Genomic DNA, 21,389 nt, shown 5'->3' on the forward strand with positions numbered 1-21,389 from the left:
AGAGAAGAAAGACCAAAAGAAACAGTTTAGAAGGAAAAAGTATTAATAGTGATTGTGTCTGGGTGGTAGGATTTTAGGTAATTGGTATTTTTCTTTATATCTTTGTGACTTAACTTTTTTTTTTTACATTCAGTTATCTACTTTAATGTCGATTGAACAAAACTCTACAATCTTTCACTCTGCTTTAGTTCTCCTGCTGTGGCTGTTCACTGGACCTTGGCTAAATGGATGTTCTCCCTGCTACTTTCTGATCACATCCTCCTGTCCTTCCAGCTTACTTCTCAATTATTCCCATGCATGATCATTTTATTTTAGTGGGGCCTCTGTATGCCATTGACTTCTCTCTACTAAAATCCTCAGACTCTACTGTCTTAACTCAGATTCCTCCTGTCCTGACTTCCTACCTGCTAAGTTTAGATTATCATCCAATATTTCCTTAACTTTATTTTCCCACCTTTTCTACTTTCTCAAATGTCTGACCTCCCTCCTCTTTCCTTTTACTTTCAGGAGTGGGCCTTGCTTCTGAACTCAGAGAATGCAGGAGCTATCAGATTTTAACTCTCTGTACCTTCTGACTCCACATTCACAGAGCCTTTCTTTGTACCCTTACCTTTTCCCCCACTCTCTTTGCTTCTATTACAACAGAAAAACTTTTCCTTCCTGTCCTTTAGGGCCAGTTGTCCCACCGTCCAGGGACGTTCCACCATCCCATCTCTTCCCTGCATTAGGCATTCATTAAGTATGTTTTCAATAAACATGGAGTACTTTTATAAATAGGAGAAAATTAGTAACAAAAATTCTTTCTGGGTAAGAGTATGGGATTGAGTAATAGACTCTAGAATAATTGTTAGAGAATGTTTGTTAGCCTAGAAAATTCCTCAGCATTTAGTTTCATAATGATTCTATCTACTCTAAGTGTATTTTGTATGGTATGAAATGCTACAGTTCCTCTTAAGAACAGTATTTTGTCTATTTAATTGCAATATGTCTCCTTTTATAGATTTTTTCTTTACATATTGCTTAGATCTACCTTTGACTTTCTTTGGTCAGGGGGACTGTGACTTGACTTTTTTTTTCTTTTTTCATAGCTGGAGAACACATTCAAATCAGTTATTGCACAGATTGGACCTGGAGGAACTATCAGTTCAGAACTAAAACATAAGATAAAATTTGTAAGTAATTTCTGTTTCTGGGAGACAATAATAATTGATTTATAAATTTATATATCATTTGTGGTTGAGTTTGTCTGCAAGTATTAATTTACATCTAATCTTTAATATACTGCAAACTAAGCAACAATTCTTTTAGACTAAGAAAAAGAAACAAAATACGTACTCCTAAAAATTTTTAACATAAAACTATTTAGTAAATAAGTTCTTCCATAAGTTCTCTCTTCCTTTCCTTCTTCCCCTCATCCCAATAGATCACTGTTGACAAACAGTTCAAGATCTTTCCAAATACCAATTTTATAAATGTACATTAAATATTGTTCCAATGTGTGTTATCCCATTACATTGATGTACCCTGTTTCATGTAGAGATCCATGATTGATTAAAGTTTTGGTGTTTTTATCTTTGACTGTGGAAAAAGTTCTCCAGTTAATGTCCATGGACATTTTTCTAGAAGTGGAATTGCTAGTCAGAGGCATCTTATGTTTTGATTATAAATATTACTAAATTGCCCTCTAAAATGCTTGAACAGATTTATACTCCCACTGACAGGTGTTACTATCCCATCACGTTGTTTTAGTTTATCTTTTGATTTTTACATTAAGCATCTTTTCATGTGCTTATTAGTCACATATATTTTTTATGTGAATTGCCTGTTTATGTCATTAGTCTTATTTGTTTTACCTTACTAACAAGTGAAAACTCTTTGGTGTTATGTATTGAGCCAAAGAGTTATGTACACTTAAATTTTTTGTGGGAGCTGTTAATCCTGCTTTGAGTAATCAAGGTGCTATTACAGCTTGTACTGCCTTATATTATTCCATTTCAACTGTCATGATTTTACTAGGAGAGATGCAAAAACCTTGATGCATTCAGGCCCTGTTTTTTTGTTTAGACACTTGAGCAAGTGTCCAATAATTACTTGTTAAAGGACATTCAATATGACTTTTTTTTTTTTTAAGAGACAAGGTCTTGCTCTGTCACCCAGGCTGGAATGCCGTGGTGCAATCATAGCTCACTGCAACCATCAACTCTGGGCTCAAGCAATCCTCTCACATCAGCCTCCCGAGTAGCTGGGACTAGAGGTGCATGCCACCACACCCAGCTAATTAAAAAAAATTTGTAGAGACAGGGTCTTGCTCTGTTGCCCAGGCCTGTCTTGAACTCCTGGCCTTAGGCATTCCCCCACTTCAGCCTCCCAAAGGCTGGGATTACAAGAGTGAATATGATTTTTTTGTGGTACCAAAAATTGGAGAAAAATTAGGCATTAATTTTAAAGGATTGGTTATGTATCAATATTGGATATTCTCCAAACTAGGGATGTCATGTAGCTTATGAGAAAGTTTATATATGTCTCTCTCAGTTTACATGGAAGTTTCTCCTTGACTTATTGTTGTACTTTAAAAACAGGTTTTATAGAATAGTGTGTTCAGAATTGTTCTTTGATATAAAACCATGAATAACATGTGCACACATAAAGGAGTTTCTGAAAGGGTGTTTCTCTAAATGTAGCAATGGCTGTCTCTGGGTCACAGGATTTTGAAATAATTTTTACTTTAGATTTTTCTGAAGCTTGATTAGAATTTTGTATAAAATATATCTGGAAAAATTTAGAAAACAAAGATTTTTGTACTTTATTGGGATAGAGTAAGTCTACCTTTAGGAAATTATTCTAAAAATCATTGAACTAGTATGCAGAACTCAAGCATGAGGATAATCATTACAATATTTGGGATGAAAAATAAGAAACAAAATAGAAGATCAAATACATTTAGGTGTCTTTAATATTTTGAAAAATCTGTAGCCAGTGAAAATGTTTATGTTTTTACTGACATGGAAAGATGTCTTTGGTATGATATTTAAAAGCTGGCTATAGAAATATTGACCTTGTTTTAATATTAAATAGATATTTTGATGTACGTATGGACAATAATGCTCTTAACAGATCTTTTATTTTTGCTTAACTGTATTTTCCAAAGTTTTTTCTAATGTTTATTGCATTTCTTTTCTAACAATTAAAATGCTTGAAACTGTGCTATAGGATGTTTTATGTGAGCTGAAGCTAAATGTGTTAGCTGAGCTTAAAGAAGTGCAGGAATTTCTGGAGAGTTGTGGTATTGCAGTAGCATGTAATAATCATTTCTCAACTCTGGAAATGTTGGAAATCACAGTCTCTTTTTGTTCTAATGTTTTTTAAAACTGGAAACTCATTTTCAAAAAAAAACAATTTAATATGACTAAAATTCATTTAATAATGTTACTTTTGCCTTTGTTGTTATTTGTTTATATTATTTTAATATTGTGTCACTCAGCATTTCAGTGTGTCTATATTGTATTTCACTTTCTATTTGTTAGGTTGTATCTAAGTTCCCAGAGGGTTTGTTTATTTCTAAACTGCTTGGAGAGTATGAGGTAAGTGTTTTGCTTTTCCCCAACCCTAATTTTTTATGGCTTATATTTCTTGTGATAGATGGAATTTTGTGGCTACTCCTTGGATTCTCCAGGTCTATGCTCTAAAACGGAAACATTTTGTTTTGCATTTTAGTATATTATAAGACTTGAGAATATGATCTTTAACAAATACTTGATTATGCATAGGAAGGATATTTTTACCACTTATTGTTATAATATTATTATAATAAAGATTATCCCATTAATGTTTGACAGTGTTATACCAAGTGTCAGTGGGAATGCAGAGAAGCAGAATACTTCATACACTGCTTGTGGGACAAAATGCTCTTAGGGAGCATTTTGGCATTATCAAGTAAAGTTGAAGGTATGCACCCTCAGGGATCCAGTAGTTCCACTTTTACATTTGCACTCTAGAGAAACTCTTGCACATGTACGCATGAAGACCTGTAAAGAAGTACACAGCACAACACAGGAACAAATGAGAAACAAATGGACATCAGTAGGATAATGGATAGAGATTGACATTTATACAATGGAATTGTATGTAGTAGTATAAAATAAATCTGCTCTGCAACGTGGATCATTTTTAAAACCATAATGTTGAGTGAAAAAAATCAAGTTTCAGAATAATTCAGATAATGCCATATATCCAGTTTTTAAAAAGATAAGTCCTATACATATGTTAACTGTGTGCCAGGCTCTATCCAGAGCATCTTTCATATTGGCATATGTTCATTTTGTTTTCACAACAAATAGAGGCACAGAGAAGTAACTTGCCTAAGCATCAACATCCAGTAATAGATGGAGCCAAGATTTTAACCTGGGCAGTCTGGCTTCAGAATCCTAACTCTTAACTACTGTGCCATGAAAACTATAGTATATTTATAGGTAAAAACATAGATATTGTGAGATAGTATAGCATAATTGTTAAGATATATAATTCTGTGTGCTATCTTATAGACAGTATGTTAGGTCAAGATAATACCTACTTTATAGAGTTTTGTGAAGTTTAAATGACTTAAAAATAAGGCACTTAGAACAGTGCCTGGCACATAAGCTCTGCTCAGATCTCTGCCTGACCTTTAACTGCACATGCTTGGGGCAGACATAGAGCAGCCTCTGTTCTTTTAAGGCTAAAAGAACTGAAGATATTTCAGCTGTTGCCCATCAAAGGGTGGCAGATTTTGGGTTTATGTTCAGCCAAATTTAAAATGAATCAAACAATAATCTCCAAAAGAGCATAAAAGATTCCAGATTCTCTACAATACATCTATCATGATGCCTGGAACACAAACCAAAATTACTAGACACAGTAAGAAACAAGAAAATGTGACCCCTTGACAAAGAAAAGGTGATCAATGGAAATTCTGAGATGATGCAGATATTGAAGTTAGCAAAAAAGGTTTTAAAGTAACTCTTACAACCACATTAAAGGATATAAAGGAATAAGTATTCAGAGTAAATGAGGAGATAAGATATTTCAGTGCAGAAAAAGAAACTATAAAAACCAAGTTATTTTCATAACTTAAAATATCTGAAGTAAAAAATTCACTAACAACAAATTGGAAATGGCAGAAGAAAGCTTTAGTAAACTTCAAGACAGATCAATAGAAATTATCCAATTTGAAGAACAGAGAAACAAAATAGAACTTGAGTGACCTGAGACCTGTGGAATAAAACCAAATGGCCTAATGTATCTATTAATATAATTGGAGCCTAAGAAAGCACAGCAGAAATATATTTGAAAAAATAATGGCCCAAATTTCCCAAATCTTGTGAAAGAAGTTTATAAATCTAAGAAGCCCAGAAAACCCCAAACAAGTAATACAGAGAAAACCTCACATAGGCACATCATAGTAAAAATGCAGAAAACCAAATATAAGTAGAAAATTCTGAAAGCAGCCAGACTAAAAATAACACACTTCATACAGGAGAACAGTGATACAAATGATGGCTGACCTCTTGAAGCAATGCTAGAAGACAATGGAATGACATCTTTAATGTACTCAAAAGAAAAGTACTGTTAACCCAATATTTTATATCCAGTGATAATATCAAGAATGAAGATGATGAGATAGACATTTTCAGGTAATCAGAATTGGAAGCAGACTGGTACTATAAGAATGCTAAATAATGTTCTTCAGGCTGAAGGAAATAATGCCAGATTGGAACTTTAATCTTTAGGAAGGATTGAATAAAGGATGTAGTAAATATCTGGGCATATGTGAAAGACTGCCTTTTTTGATCAGTTAAAATATATGACTGTTTAAAGCAAAAATTACAGCATTAAATAATTGGGTTTATAACATGAAAATGTAATGCATATGAAAACTACTGCATAATGAGTGGAGGGGCAGTACCTGGAACTATAGGGTTGCAAGATTCTTATATTTTATTTGAAGTGGTACAGTAGGACTGAAAAGGATGTATATTGGTTTTGCTGGTGAATTCTGTTAAAACATTTAAGGAAGAAATTATATTAGTCATATACAGATTGTTTCTTAAAATAGCAGAGAATATTCTCCAACTCATTCTTTTTTTTTTTTTTTTTTTTTTCCTTTTAAGAGAGAGTCTCACTGTCACCCAGGCTGGAGTACAGTGGCATGATCTTGGGTTACTGCAGCCTTGAACTCCTGGGCTCAAGTAATCCTCCTGCCTCAGCCTCCTGAGTAGCTGGGACTACAGACATGTGGTGCCATGCCCAGCCAATTAAAAAAAAAATTTTTTTTTAGAGACAGGGTCTCACCATGTTACCCAGGCAGGTATTTAACTCCTGCCCTAAAGCAGTCCTTCTATCTCAGCCTCCCAAAGTGCTGAGATTACAGGCATGAGCCACCACACCTGGCCTCCCCAACTCATTCTATAAATACATTGTCCTGCTACTAAAGCTTGACATAGACATTACAAAAAACCAATTAGAACATGTTTCTCGTAACGTGGACACAAAAGTCTATTACAAAACAGTAGTAAATTGAATTCAGCAATCCCTGAACAAGAGGGGTTTATCCTAAGAATGCAAGGTTGGAGTAACATTTCAAAAGGAATTAAGGCAATTCACCATTTTAATAGAATAACAAGGAAGAAAAGCCATGTGATTATTTTGGTAGATGCAGAAAAAGAATTACCAAAATTTAATACCCATCCACAATTAAAACTCTCAGAAAACTAGGAATAGAAAAGAAATTCCTCATTTGGATAAAGTGCATTTGTGAAAACCTATTAATATACTTGTCATACTCAATGGTGAAACACTGAACAATTCCCCCTTAAAATCTGGAACAAGGTAAGTATATCCAGTCATACTGCTTCTATTCAACATTGTATTGCAAGTTCTAACCAATGTAATAAGGAAATAAAAGGCATGAAAACCTAAAAGAAAAAACGTAAAACTTTATTTGTAGAAAACATGATTGTTCATATAGAATATACTAAGGAATCCATGAAAAAGCTACTAGAACTAACTTATTAGGTCAAAATACAAGGTTAGTATACGGAAATCAATGTATTTTCATATGTAAGTAGCAAACTATTGGAGAATGAAATTAAATTCTGTTTATTATATCGTCAAATTACTTGGAAATAAGTTTAACAAAAGAAACATAAATCATGTACACCGAAAACTAATAAACATTGTTGAGAAGTTGAAGACTAATAAATGGAGAGGTGTAAGATACTCATGGGTGAGAAGACTCATTATTGATAACATTATATGAACATGATAACATTAATGTATGGATTCAATATAGTCCCCATCATAATTCTTGCGGGCTATTCGTAGATACTAACAAATCCATGAATTTGGCCTTACAGTGCATGCATAGGAGATCCACCCATATACACTGAAGTGATTTTTGAGAGAGGTGCCAAAGGAATTCAAAAGGGATAAGACAGTATTTTCAGCTCTGGGCATGGTGGCTCATGCCTGTAACCTCAGCACTTTGGCAGGCTGATATGGAAAGATTACTTAAAGCCAGGAGTTTGAAAAAATATTTTCAACAAATGATGCTGGAACAACTGAATGCAAGATACAACTGAATACAAAAAAAAAAAAAAAGAATCCCAACCCCAACCCGACACCATGTACAAAAATTATTTCAAGATGTATCATAGACCTAAATGAAAAAATTAAAGGTCTAAAACTTCCAGGTGAATTAAAATATATTAATGACCTGGACAGGCAAAGCTTTCTTAGGACACAGAAGCAGTAATCAGTTAAAAGAAAACTGATAATGAGACTTCATCAAAATTAGCTTCTATTTAGGAGACCCCATTTAAAATTGAATAGGCAGACCACAGACTGGGAAGAAATATTTACAATCATACATCTAACAAAGGACTTATATTCAGAATACATAAAGACGAGTCTATAGCTCCATAATAGAAAGCCAAACAATTCTTTTTGTAAATGGCCCAACTTCACAAATGCAGATATGAGTGACTGATAAACATATGATAAACTCACATTTTTGGTGCAAGTATAAAATGGTACAACTACTGTGGAAAATGTTCTTACAATTTCTTGTAAGTGTGTATTTATCCTTTGACCCAGAATTATACTCCCAGATATTTATTCAAACTCTGTGTCCTCAAAGACTTATATGATAGTATTCATAACAGCTTTATACATTATAGCCTCCCAAAACTGGAAATAAGCCTACTATTCATCAATAAGGGAATTAATGAAGAGATTGTGGTACGTTTGTACAACAAAATACTATTCCACATATGTCCAACAATGATAGACTGGATTAAGAAAATGTGGCACATATACACCATGGAATACTATGCAGCCATAAAAAATGATGAGTTCATGTCCTTTGTAGGGACATGGATGAAATTGGAAATCATCATTCTCAGTAAACCATCGCAAGAACAAAAAACCAAACACCGCATATTCTCACTCATAGGTGGGAATTGAACAATGAGAACACATGGACACAGGAAGGGGAACATCACACTCTGGGGCCTGTTGTGGGGTGGGGCAGGGGGGAGGGATAGCATTGGGAGATATACCTAATGCTAGATGACGAGTTAGTGGGTGCAGCGCACCAGCATGGCACATGTATACATATGTAACTAACCTGCACAATGTGCACATGTACCCTAAAACTTAAAGTATAATAATAATAATAAAAAGAAAAAAAAGAAGTAAACAGCTGATACATGAACCAGTGTGGATGAATCTGAAAAATAGTTGCTGTGGAAGTAAGTCTCATACAGCAGCATACTGTAGAATGTCTTTTATATTAAATAATACAATAGCCAAAGATAATCTATGGTGGAAAAAAAGTTTGTCTCTAGGGGTGACTGGGAAAGGGAGAACTTGCTGAGGTAATGGAAGTGTTCTGTATCTTGAGTAGGGGTTTGGGTTACACAGTTCTGCATTTATCAGGGCTAACTGACTGGTAAACTTAAGTTGTGTGCATTTCACTGCGTGTAAATTTTACCTAAAAGTGAACAGATACTGATTTCTAGTTAATGCTGTACGTGCTGGCCTATTTTGGGGTAAAGGCTACTGATGTGTACAGGTCACTTTGAAATGTATATAAAAGATAAGATGGGTTGGTAGATGGTTGGATACACAGATGACATAGCAACTCTATAGTGGTAGAGTTCAGTATCCAATTCTTTCAACTTTTTCTGTGTTTGAAATTTTACATAAGAAAATCTTAGGAAAAAAAGGAAAGATAAAGATGATTCAAGAGAAAATGACAGGTATTAAACAGGCAAAGAAGAGCCAACATGAATAATAAAGCCAAAGAAGGAAACAGAATGAAGCCTGAAAACTAGAATTCAAGTAAACCTTACTGAAATGGAAGATTTGAGGCTATGTGTTTTGAAGAGCACACTGCATATCTGACAATATCAACTCAGAATGACCAATATCAAATTTCTGGACTTAAAAGAAAAAAATTTTTCTGGGCATTTAAAGAAAAACAGCAAGTGACTTATAAAGGAAACAAAAGTTAAATTATTAGACATTTTCACAGCAATGTTTTAAGCTAGATGAAAAGGGAGTGACTTATATACTCAAAACATGAGCCAAAGATTCTTTAGCTAGCAAAACTGACTTTCAATTGCAGAGAGCCAGACAAGCTATTACCACCATGCAAGAATTCAAGAACTCTTGTTCCCATGAGCCCTTCCTGAGGAATCTACTGGAGAATGAACATCAGAAAACCAAAATCACACTAGAGAGACATTGATAAAAGGACTGAAAGTGAATACCATTTATACAACTAAGATCAAATGAGGGTTGGGGGGAGAGAATATAGTGTTTCGTGGCAATGTACTCTGCTAATGTAGACAAAGTACAGTTACACAAAATAGTGGAAGAAGAAAGGGTGAACATATGCAAAATTATTTTGTTTTGATTATATTGGTGGTAGTATTCTGAGACCATTGTTGTATAATTTGATGTAAAGCAAATGAATAATTAGATAATTCAAATTGTGTATACAAGGATATCCTAGTTATATAAATTGAGTTTGGAACATCTTGTCGTACCAGACCAGCAAGGAAGCTATTAAAAACTAGGTTCACATTAGAGCTTAGGAATTCACTTGAAGAATTATTTCAGGCTACAATAAGGATAATAATTGCAATATTTTGAAGCCTATCAAATATATTTAATTCTGTGAGTTTATACGATACTAAAAAAACTGATGACTCAACATAGAGGATGATGGAACTAGTTCACTTTCTTTAAAAATGGTAAATAAAGAGAGCCAATCACTTATCTTGGCATTCCTAAATGAATTGATACAGCTGGATAAGCAAAGAGCAGGAGGGAAAGCATACATCTATAGAGTGTTCCAACTAAATAATGAAAAGGAATTGACAGAATGCTGCTGTTAAAACCCTCAAAGTAATGGATCTAGGAATTGACTAATAATGGCTCTTAACAACACCAAAAAAGAGACAACCAGATATTACGTGCCCCTCTTTAGAACATAGCATAACTTATAGTATTGTCAAAGAGATCAAACATAAATCTGATCAAGCCTGTGGGGATATTCATTATGCTAATTTGCAGGAAATAAAGTGTTTGTACTGCAAGATTGTCAGACTTTGAGAAAACAAAATCATGTAAACAGGATATATACACATATTTTAAGGCATAAATCTAAACTCTAAGAAAAGGATAATTAAAATTTCGTTGAAGGTGGAAGGAAAGTAAGGAGGGTGGGAGTAGAAATATATCAATTTATTTATTTCTTTTCTTTTCTTTTCTTTTTTTTTTTTTTTTTTTTTTTTTTAAGACGGGGTCTTGCTGTTCCCCAAGCTGGAGTGCAGTGGTACAATCATAGCTCACTGCAGCCTCAGCCTCCCAAGTAGCTGGGATTACAGGCACATGCTACCATGTCCAGCTAAGTTTTTTTTTTTTTTTAAGTTGTAGAGGCAGAGTCTCATTATATTGCCCAGGCTGGTCTCTAACTCCTGGCCTCAAGCAGTCCCTCCTGCCTCAGCCTCCCAAAGTGCTGGGATAACAGACATGAGCCACTTTTCCCAGCCCATCAGTTTCTTCATTGTTCATAGTTGGGAGCCAATAAAGCAGAAAGCATAACAAAGGAATTAGGATAAAATATATCTGACATATTAGTAAATTGACTAACCTTTTAAAAGAAACTGAGTCTCAGGATCAGCTAGCAAAACTCAACTGTGTTTTGTGTACTGAGATAATAATTGAAAAAAGCAAGATGTACCTAGTATATGTAATCTATTATGTTGAATCATATTTGAGTTTTGATAATTTCTGGAACATTTTAACAAGGAACTGGCAATAATGGTTACTTCCAGGGAAGTGATTGCTAGGTGACTGAGGAATTTGTTGTTGTTGTTGTTGTTGTTGTTTTTGCCAATTTAACTGAAGTGTTTATTTTTAAAATAGTTCCTGATTAAACTCACATCCTGCCTTTTAATAATCAGATCACTCAGCATCATCACAGTTTACCAAAATACAGATAAATTCTAAAGGAAAATGTCATTTCTGAATAAGAGCTGTCAAGTCAAAGTGATTGAGAAATCCAGATGAGCACTATTTCTCATCTGCTTGTTTCTCTTGGTGCGGAGGAGAAAGCTGGAAGATGGCAGCTTACATTTTCATGACCAATTTAGCAGATAACAACCCAATATAAAACTCAAAAATAAATTCACAACATAAATTGAGGAAACTGAAGCTTATTCACTTTAAAAACCAAAAGGATTGAGAATAATGTATTAAAATTCAAATGGGAGACTACCTGAAGAGCCAAGATGAGAATACATATTAGAAGGTCTTCCACTGAAAGCATTAACATTAGTATTAAAAAGATAATTTGCACGATAGATTAAGAAGGGAAAAATACACTAATTGAGTTTTTCAGTATAAAATGCATGCAAAGAATGAAGATAGAAGTCACTCAACAACAAAAAAGTCTCTTTAGATGTAGCAGGTTTTGTTTTTTAGGCTCAGAAATAAGCAAATTTATCATCTTAGGATAATACATACAATAAATGCAACATATTTATTGTCTGTCTTAGAATAATACCTACAATAGATGCAAAATATGAAGACTGAAGGCAGCTTTGGGAGAACATTTCACTTTTAACCCTTTGGAGTAGTTTTTTTTCAATGTTTTAAGAATTTATGTGAGATACAGTTAATATAAATGAGTGAAACTAAAACAATGTTGGTGATGCTTTTGACTATGGAATAAATAACATGATAGACGGTCCTTTTAAGACATATGAAATGTTTTCTGTTTAAGGAATGTATTTTATGTGTCTATCCCATATATATTGTCTTCTGTCTTCATTTGGTATGACTTTTCTTCTTTTCTAAGGCAAGAAAATCAAACTGTATGCTATGGGAAATACACCGATAGATAGCTGCTCATTTATTCCAACTTTTTTTTTTTTTTTTTGAGACGGAGTCTTGCTCTGTCACCCAGGCTGGAATGCAGTGGTGCGATCTTGGCTCACTGCAAGCTCCACCTCCTGGGTTCATGCCATTCTCCGGGTTCATGCCATTCTCCGGCCTCAGCCTCACGAGTAGCTGGGACTACAGGTGCCCATCACCACGCCTGGCTAATTTTTTGTATTGTTAGTAGAGATGGGGTTTCACCGTGTTAGCCAGGATGGTTTCGATCTCCTGATGTCGTGATCCACCTGCCTCGGCCTCCCAAAGTGCTGGGATTACAGGCGTGAGCCACCGTGCCTGGCCTTTATTCCAACTTCTAAGGTGAAATAATAAACAAAATTTAAGGAAATATTTTTGAACAATTTCTGTACATGTCGGAAGTGATATCGAATATTATCTTTATTGGAAAATAGAGAAATACCAATAGTTTTATTACGACTGTTGTAATTTGTGCATTCTCCTCTTGTTTTTTTAAACACTTTTGCTTTATATTCAGACATTGTTAAAAATGAGAAGTGAAAAGTGCCCACCCTAACTTTTACTTTAGTTTACCACATGCTTTAAAAGGAACTTGACATTGACCCAGAAGTTTTATAGTAAGGGATTATTGGTCACTTGGTTTGTTTTATGCTGGTATGGAAGTGAGCCTTTACTCTGTAATACTTGAGTTCATTGACCCTTTAAGATTTAGTTTGGTTGTCCAAGGACAACTATATATGTTATATATCTGTTATCTAATGCTGTTTCATGTAATTTCTATTTTCTTGTGACAGGTAATTTTTAAAGAGCAACTATCACCAAAAAAATTAGGCTTCTTAAATGTGACAGAACTTGTTGGAGCTCTTAGTGACATTCTCCATGTTGAGTTCAGGAAAGGACACCAAGACTTACTAGTGTTTGATGCGGATAAGAAGCCTCTACCACCTGGTGAGTGGAACCACAGTATGATGCAAACCTCATTTTTATTGTCCTTATGAGGACAAAGAGAAAACATGAAATAATGCCTAGCCATGAAATGTTTTATAAAATGACCTCCTTTCTGGTGGTATTTGTTGTAATAAGGTTAATCTGTATTGTTAATAAAAATAATCTGAATTTTAAAATTTTGCTTTCTTGGGCCGGGTGCAGTGGCTCATGCCTATAATCCCAGCACTTTGGGAGGCCGAGGTGGGCGGATCACGAGGTCAGGCGATTGAGACCATCCTGGCTAACACAGTGAAACCCCGTCTCTACTAAAAATACAAAAAAACTAGCCAGGCGTGGTGGTGGGCGCCTGTAGTCCCAGCTACTCAGGAGGCTGAGGCAGGAGAATGGCATGAACCCGGGAGGCGGAGCTTGCCGGGAGCCGAGATCAAGCCACTGCACTCCAGCCTGGGTGACAGAGCGAGACTCTGTCTCAAAATAAAAATTTTTCTTGCTTTCTTCATTGTCTAGATTTTTGATAATTCTGAAGGAAATAAAGTTCCTAAAATGGTGGTCTGATAGTGCAGTGGTTCTTAACTCAGGCCGTGCATCAAAAGCTTTTTAGAAATATATGGAGATGCAGAATAAATGGGTGTGCGTTGGGACCCAGCACTTGTATTTTTTAAAATAAACTTTTAATTTTAGGATAATGTTAGTGTTACAGAAAAATCATAAAGGTAGTACAGAGTTCCCAAAAACCTTTCACCCAGTTTCTTCCAATATTAATGCCTTATTTACCATGATACATTTATCAAAACTAAGAAATTAACATTAGTACATTGCTAGTAACTAAACTCCAGGCTTTATTCTGATTTTACCAGTTTTTCCAAGAATGTCTTTTTTCTGTTTGTGTATCCACTCCAGGATAATACCACATTGCATTTAGGGCACTTGATTTTTTTTTTTTTTTTTTTTTTGTGGGGTGGGTGGTGGTGAGGGACCTTCTTTTTCTTTTCTTTTTTTTTTTTGAGATAGATTCTTACGCTGTCCCCCAGGCTGGAGTGCAGTGGCGTGATCTTGGCTCACTGCAACCTCCGCCTCGCGGGTTCATGCCATTCTCCTGCCTCAGCCTCCTGAGTAGCTGGGATTACAGGCACCTGCCACCACGCCCAGCTAATTTTTTGTATTTTTAGTAGAGATGGGGTTTCACCATGTTACCCAGGATGGTCTCAATCTCCTGACCTCGTGATCCACCCGCCTCAGCCTCCCAAAGTGCTGGGATTACAGGCGTGAGACACCACTCCCGGCCGTGACCTTCTTTTTCTTTTGAAGTTTTTATTAAGATAATTTTAGATTCACATGGAGTTGTAAGAAATAATACACTATGATACCATGTACCTTTTACCTAGTTTCTCCAATGGCAACACCTCGCAAAACTAGATTGCAGTATGGTACTTGTATTTTTATAAGCTTGAATGAGTGGTTATGATGGACAGGTTTTGTTTTTTTTTTTTCAAAATGTAACTACCTTTATTGATTTTTCTGATTATTAAAGTAACTCATGTTCATTCTGAATATATATAAACAGCACAGATGAGTAGAGAGAGAACATTTTCTATTATTTTATCCACCCCCCCAAAATAATACTGTTAGAATGTTTATATAGCCTCCAAGACTTTTTCCAATGAATATGTAAGACATAGATAGATCTTTTTTTTTAATCACAAAAGCTGCACATGCTTGTTTAAACAATTCCAACAATACAGAGGTAACTAGCATTAATAGTTTTAGTGTGTTTATTTTTGGACCTCTTCTATATGGTATAGCTAATTACCACCTGTATAATTTTTCCTACACAAAACAGTAGTATATAAATACAAATTTTCCTCAACTTATGATGGGGTTCTATCCCAATAAACCCATCATAAGTAGACAATACATTTAATATACCTAGCCTACTGAACATCATACCTTGGCCTAGCCTACCTTAGACATGCTCAGAACACTTACATTAGCCTACAGTTGGGCAAAATCATCTAATACAAAGCCTATTTTATACTAAAGTGTTGAACATCACCTGCAATTTATTGAATACTATACTGAAAGTGAAAAACAGTGTTGTATGGGTACTTGAAGTATGGTTTCTAATGAATGTGTATCACTTTCATACCATAAGAAAGTCAAACCACTGTGGACATCTGTATTATGCAAATCCTCATTTCTTACACTTCATATACTATGGGTGTTTTTTCATATTAGTACAAACAAGCTCATTTCATCATTTGAAGTTATATATAATAATAATGTACTTAACCAGTCTCCTACTGATGGACATTAGGATTGTTCCCATTTTTTCACCATCACAAAAAAATACAGTGACAAATATTCTTGTACCTACATCTTTGTGTACTTATGACTTCATTTTTTAGGAGCCACCATGCTTGTAGGTCTGTCTGGAATCTTTTTTTTTTTTGAGATGGAGTCTCGCTCTGTCACCCAGGCTGGAGTGCAATGGTGTGATCTTGGCTCACTGCAACCTCCGCCTCCCAGGTTCAAGTGATTCTCCTGCCTCGGCCTCCCAAGTAGCTGGGACTACAGGCGCCTGCCACCATGCCTGGCTAATTTTTGTATTTTTAGTAGAGATGGGGTTTCATCATATTGGCCAGGCTGGTCTTGAACTCCTGACCTTGTGATCCACCCGCCTCGGCCTCCCAAAGTGCTGGGATTACAGGTGTGAGCCACTGAACCCAGCCTGGAGTCTGTTTTAATGTGCCAACCTCTTGTAGTTATCATACACATGTAAATTTGAACAAAATACATGATTAACTTGAAAATTTCCTAAGAATTAAGGAATCGTATTATGGAATATTAAGTAGTTACATACAGTCTACGTTAAGCAACAAAGAATATTCCCTGTTTAATTTGAACAAGAAGTAAATTGAAATCAAGATGCTGAAAAAAATTAAGTCTTTAACTAAAGTTTAAGAAACCTTGGCTGGGCGCGGTGGCTCACACCTGTAATCCCAGCACTTTGGGAGGCCGAGGCGGGCAGATCACGAGGTCAGGAGATAGAGACCATCCTGGCTAACACAGTGAAACCCTGTCTCTACTAAAAATACAAGAAATTAGCCCGGCATGGTGGCGGGTGCCTGTAGTCCCAGCTACTCGGGAGGCTGAGGCAGGAGAATGGTGTGAACCCAGGAGGCGGAACTTGCAGTGAGCCGAGATCGCACCACTGCACTCCAGTCTGGGCAATAGAGCAAGACTTCATCTCAAAAAACAAAAAAACAAAAAAAAGAAACCTTATCAGATCACAAGCCTCCCTCCCCCTAGCACAAATAATTTAAGATTTGTTCCCACCTAGAACTTCCCTTATATTTTGCCACACTGAAAGGTCTGCAAGGACAGGTTTGTATCTCTCATTTATCATTGTCTTTCTAGCACCTGGTGTGTTGAAGGTGCTTAGTAATGGTTGTATAGCTATTTTAACAAATATGCATAGGCTGCTCTATTGGCCATTTGAGATGGAGTTGTTTCATCAGTCGGAAATTTGTGTTTAGTTCAGTCAGATAAGAAAATAGAAGCCAAAGCTTGTGTCTCCAGTCCACCTAGAAATTCATTGTCTACTGCTGCTGTCAAAGAGACTGTATGGAATTGCCCTTCAAAAAAACAAAAAGAGCCACAACAGAAGATTTGCAAGAAGCCTAATCTGGTGGTAAAGCCTTTACAGCTGGTGAGTGAGGTTTAAAGACTGTGCACTGGAGATTCAGCATTATGGAAAGTAAATGAATGTGTGTTTCTTTAAACCAAAATTCTTTTTAGAAAAGTCTTATTTCTGGATATATCATTTATTAGAAGAAATCATCTTTGTATTGAAGTTATGTCATATAGCATTCTTTCTGGTTTTCAGTCTTTTATATAACTAGCTTTTCCTCAAGGCTCATTTTAAAGTTTTCAAATGGTTTTGAGAGTTGACAGATCTCTCATGATGTCTTGAAAACCCACAGGGGCTTTAGAGGGAAAACTTGAGAGGCTTCGTTTTGGCTGTGTGCCTCAACGCTGCTGCAAATTGCCTCTACACTCATCCTCAATTATAGGGTGCTTTTATTTTTTTTCTTTTCTTGCATCTCCACACACAGTTCACCCTTTTTGTGTTCTTGTCTCCCATTACTTATTTTGTTGTTATTAAGGAATCATTGCTTGCTCTTTTTCCCTTCTACCCTTTCTACCTGGCTTCTTTCATGGAAGGAAAAAGTTTTGTTTGGAGAGCTTGCTGTATTTTCTGGAGGAAAATAGAAGGAAGGCCTAGAGGAAAACAGTATGTTTCAGAATGAGAGTATTTGAGAAATCCTGCTTTTGATTGGAAGACTAGTCTGAAATTTAACCTACTAAAGTTACCTTTGACTGCTGATATGAGTAGGATAAGAATCCACCTTGGTTCAGCCTGGATGTTTGAAGTATCATATTTTCAATTTTGTATAGAGCAATTGTGTAACGCTTTTAAACTCTATACCTAATGTCATAAGGTAGTAGTTTTCATATTTTAACATAGGTAAGAATCACCCAGGGAATTTATTTAAATGCATAATTGTGGGCCCCATTCCCAGGCATTCTGAATCAGTAAGTCTGGGCTAGAGTTCAAGAATCTGTATTTTTATAATTTCCCAAGTGATTCTGATAAAGGTGATTCATGAAATGTGCTTTGAGAAACATGCCATGGGGTTTGAAATGTCACCAAGAGATTTTTAATTTTTTTTTTCTAACTTATAGCAAGTAGAAACAAACAAATCAGAGCTCAACTTGGCAATGGCAAATCATGACATCCCGCCAGACGCTGTGCCGAACAAGAAATTATGCAGACTCCCACCATTAGACACCAGTTCCCTCATAGGGGTCTTTGTGGAGTATATCATCTCTCCTAGTCAATTCTACATCCGGATCTATAGCAGGGATTCGTCAGAGTTACTCGAAGACATGATGATTGAAATGCGGTAGGAGTCTGTTGTTTTCAATGTGTTTTTCACATGTCTCTTAAATCAACAGTTCTCAAACATTTCGGTTTCAGGACTCTTAAAAATTAAAGACCCAAGAGAGCTTTTTTTTATCAGTATTTATTGTATAGAAATTAAAACTGTAAAATTTTAATATTAAAATAATTCTCGTGTTAATATAAGTAACATTTTTATGAAAATAACTTTTTGTTTAAAAATTTAGAAGGGTGGCATTGTTTTATCCTTTTGTAGATCTCTTTAATATCTGGCTTAATAGAAGAAAGTTGATTTTTCATATTTGCTTCTGCATTTAATCTGTTGAGATATGTTGTTTTGGTTGAAGTATCTGAAGACATCTGGCCTCATACCAATGTGTAGTCTGGGAAAAAGTATTTTAACAGCTTTTTCAGAAAATTGTGAATATTCTTTTTTGATAGTATGCTAAAACTTGAGAAATGGTAGTTTCTCAAATGTTATTTGGAATTTGAACTTTTTATAGTCTATTATGTTAAAATCCACTGGTCTGCCTCTACAATTTGAATGGATCTAAGACTGGCAGTGTAATTGCTGGCCCTGGTGCAAAATTAAAATGCAGTGCTCCCTGTTTAAAAATTACTAATTTCAAGATGGCAATAGCAGAATATTAAAGCAAGCACAAAGCTGCTTCTAAGCATGGATTCAAACTATCCCTGAATGGATCATACAACTTTATAACATCATGTGTTGGTCATTTGGAAAATAACTAGTTTGCTGAATTATGCAGATCTTCCAAATGTTGACACATTTCATTATGCAGTATAAAAATATCACATTAATATCATCACTGATCTCAGAAAAGTATTTAGTATTGGGAAGCTGTCAAGCTCACAGTGGTGAATGCAACATTTCCAAAATCCTTTTACTCGAAAGTTTGATTTTTGTCATTGACAACATGTACTGTGAGTTGTTTTCCTTGAAGTGACAAGCTTGCTTCATTTTTGAAAAATGTCAAATACCCAAGTCAGCTTGCTAGTGGTTCTTTCAAGCAAAACTGATATGAAAGAAATGGCTAGTTCGTCTTCCAGGTAAAAATCATGTTTGTGGACTATACTTTGAGAACTACTAACTTATATTATCTCTTTTCTCTACTAAAAATTGTCCTTTGTTAGCAAACACCATGTAAAATATGGACATTTTCAACCACTTTAGATTTATTCATGAACAACAATGTCTGATTTATAAATTGTTGTCATAGAAGAATAATTTATTTCATTTTATTTTGTATCTCAAAAAACATTCCATGTTTTTAATTTGACAATAGTATGTATGCTTCTACTCCAGGACACCTGGCATAATGTAAGTCACATAATCACTTGGTAAAAATATATATTCCATTCCAGTATGCCCATGGGACATTTGTACGTGTTTTAAAAGCACACTCACTGGCTCTCTGACCTTGAAGTTACTTTACTTCTCTGGGCCTAGTTGTATTATCTCCAAAATGAGATAATGATAGTACCTACTTCACAGAGTTCTAAAAATTAAAGTACTTGGAGCATAGCCCAAATGTTAGCTGCTATTATTATTAATACTATAGACTGGGTACAGTGTGGTTCATGCCTGTAAACTTAGCACTTTGGGAAGCCAAGGTGGGAGGATCGCTTGAGCCCAGAAGTTCAAGATTCATCTGGGCAACATAGTGAGACCCTGTATCTACAAAAGAATTAAAAATTAGCTGGGCATGATGGTGCATGCCTGTAGTCCCAGCTCCCGAGGAGGTTGAAGCTGCAGTGAGTCATGATTGTGCTACTGCACTCCAGCCTGGGCAACAGAGTAAGGCCCTGTCTGGGGGAAAAAAAAAAAATACTGTAACTACTGTGTGCTTCGTGTCAGAATGTTGAGGCACTTGTGCTACAAGGATAAGTAAGACATGGTCCTTTGCCTTTGCGAATACTGTGATTAGCTTAAGAAGATAGGAGATACATGGGATATTATAAAAGGGAGTCGTTCTGCCTGGGCAAGGTTGAGGAAAGCTTCACAAAAGAGATAATTGAGCTAGGCCTCAAAGACAAGAATTTGCGAGTCAAGGAGGTTATGAGTGGGTATAATCAGGTCCAGTCACTGGAACCAAGGCCAACATTAACAAAGGAGTAAGTGGCGTGCGCTGGGAACAACAATAAGGAAGTGACGTTAGCACCAGGTGAGGTTGCAGGAGTCAGGAAGGGGGAGAGAGTGACTGATGTGATGCTGGAAGACTAAGAAAAAGCTAGATTCTGAATACCATGGGAAGATGTTTTCTCTTATTCTGGGGAAGCACTGATGGTTTTAAGAAAGCCATTGGAGTGAAGGGATGAAGATCTATTAGTGGACTAGTCTTGATGAGAGTGAGACTAGAAAGGAAGAGATAAATTGGGAAAATGAAAATTGCCAGGTGACAAGAAGGGTGTTGAGAAGAATAAGAAAGAGAAGGAGATGATGAAAACTGTTTGCTTTAGAGACTGGGCAGGTTTGAGCTGGGGTGAAAACTTATTAGTAGAAGTTCACCTGTAGTGTCTCTAAGTTGACCATGAGAGTCACTGGCAATGTTGACTAGATGGTATGAGTTAGGATTAGGTTTAGCCACTGTTAGATATAACTTTATCATAGTAGCTTAAAGAAGATAAAAGTTTATTTCTTCTTCCCAGAATAGTCCAAATATACACAATACATTCTGATATGATAGTTCCGTGGTGGGAGGGGGACACAGTTATAGAATCTTGCTGCTCCAGAATAGTGTGTTGTCCCTGTTCACGTGGTCTTGGGTGTGGCTGACCACTACCACCACCCAGTCATCCTGCCAGCTACTGGGAAGGGGAAAAAGAAGTGGGGGATGGGAGATATACCTGTTCTATTGAAAGACACAACCCAGAATTTTCACTCTTAAAACTGTGGGTAAAATACACATTAAATATATTCATTTTAACTATGTACACTTTTTCTTGTATCCCACTGGCCAAAATTTAGTATTCACATAGCCACACCTAGATGCAGGAG

General features: G+C 35.8%; 1 protein-coding gene across 11 annotated transcripts in view; it reads left to right on the forward strand.

Moving 5' to 3' along the window:
* Positions 1-21,389, forward strand: part of TDRD5 (tudor domain containing 5) — a 99,660-nt gene that overhangs the window by 25,898 nt on the left and 52,373 nt on the right. For all 11 annotated transcript variants that reach the window (XM_047447750.1, NM_001349923.1, NM_001199091.2 and 8 more), the window contains 5 exons: positions 1,089-1,172; positions 3,525-3,581; positions 13,257-13,410; positions 16,947-17,119; positions 18,157-18,377. In XM_047447750.1, the coding sequence (XP_047303706.1) occupies positions 1,089-1,172; positions 3,525-3,581; positions 13,257-13,410; positions 16,947-17,119; positions 18,157-18,377 (689 nt within the window). The remainder of the gene's footprint in view (positions 1-1,088; positions 1,173-3,524; positions 3,582-13,256; positions 13,411-16,946; positions 17,120-18,156; positions 18,378-21,389) is intronic.

Source organism: Homo sapiens, chromosome 1, assembly GCF_000001405.40.
Source record: "Homo sapiens chromosome 1, GRCh38.p14 Primary Assembly".
Lineage (NCBI taxonomy): Eukaryota > Metazoa > Chordata > Mammalia > Primates > Hominidae > Homo > Homo sapiens.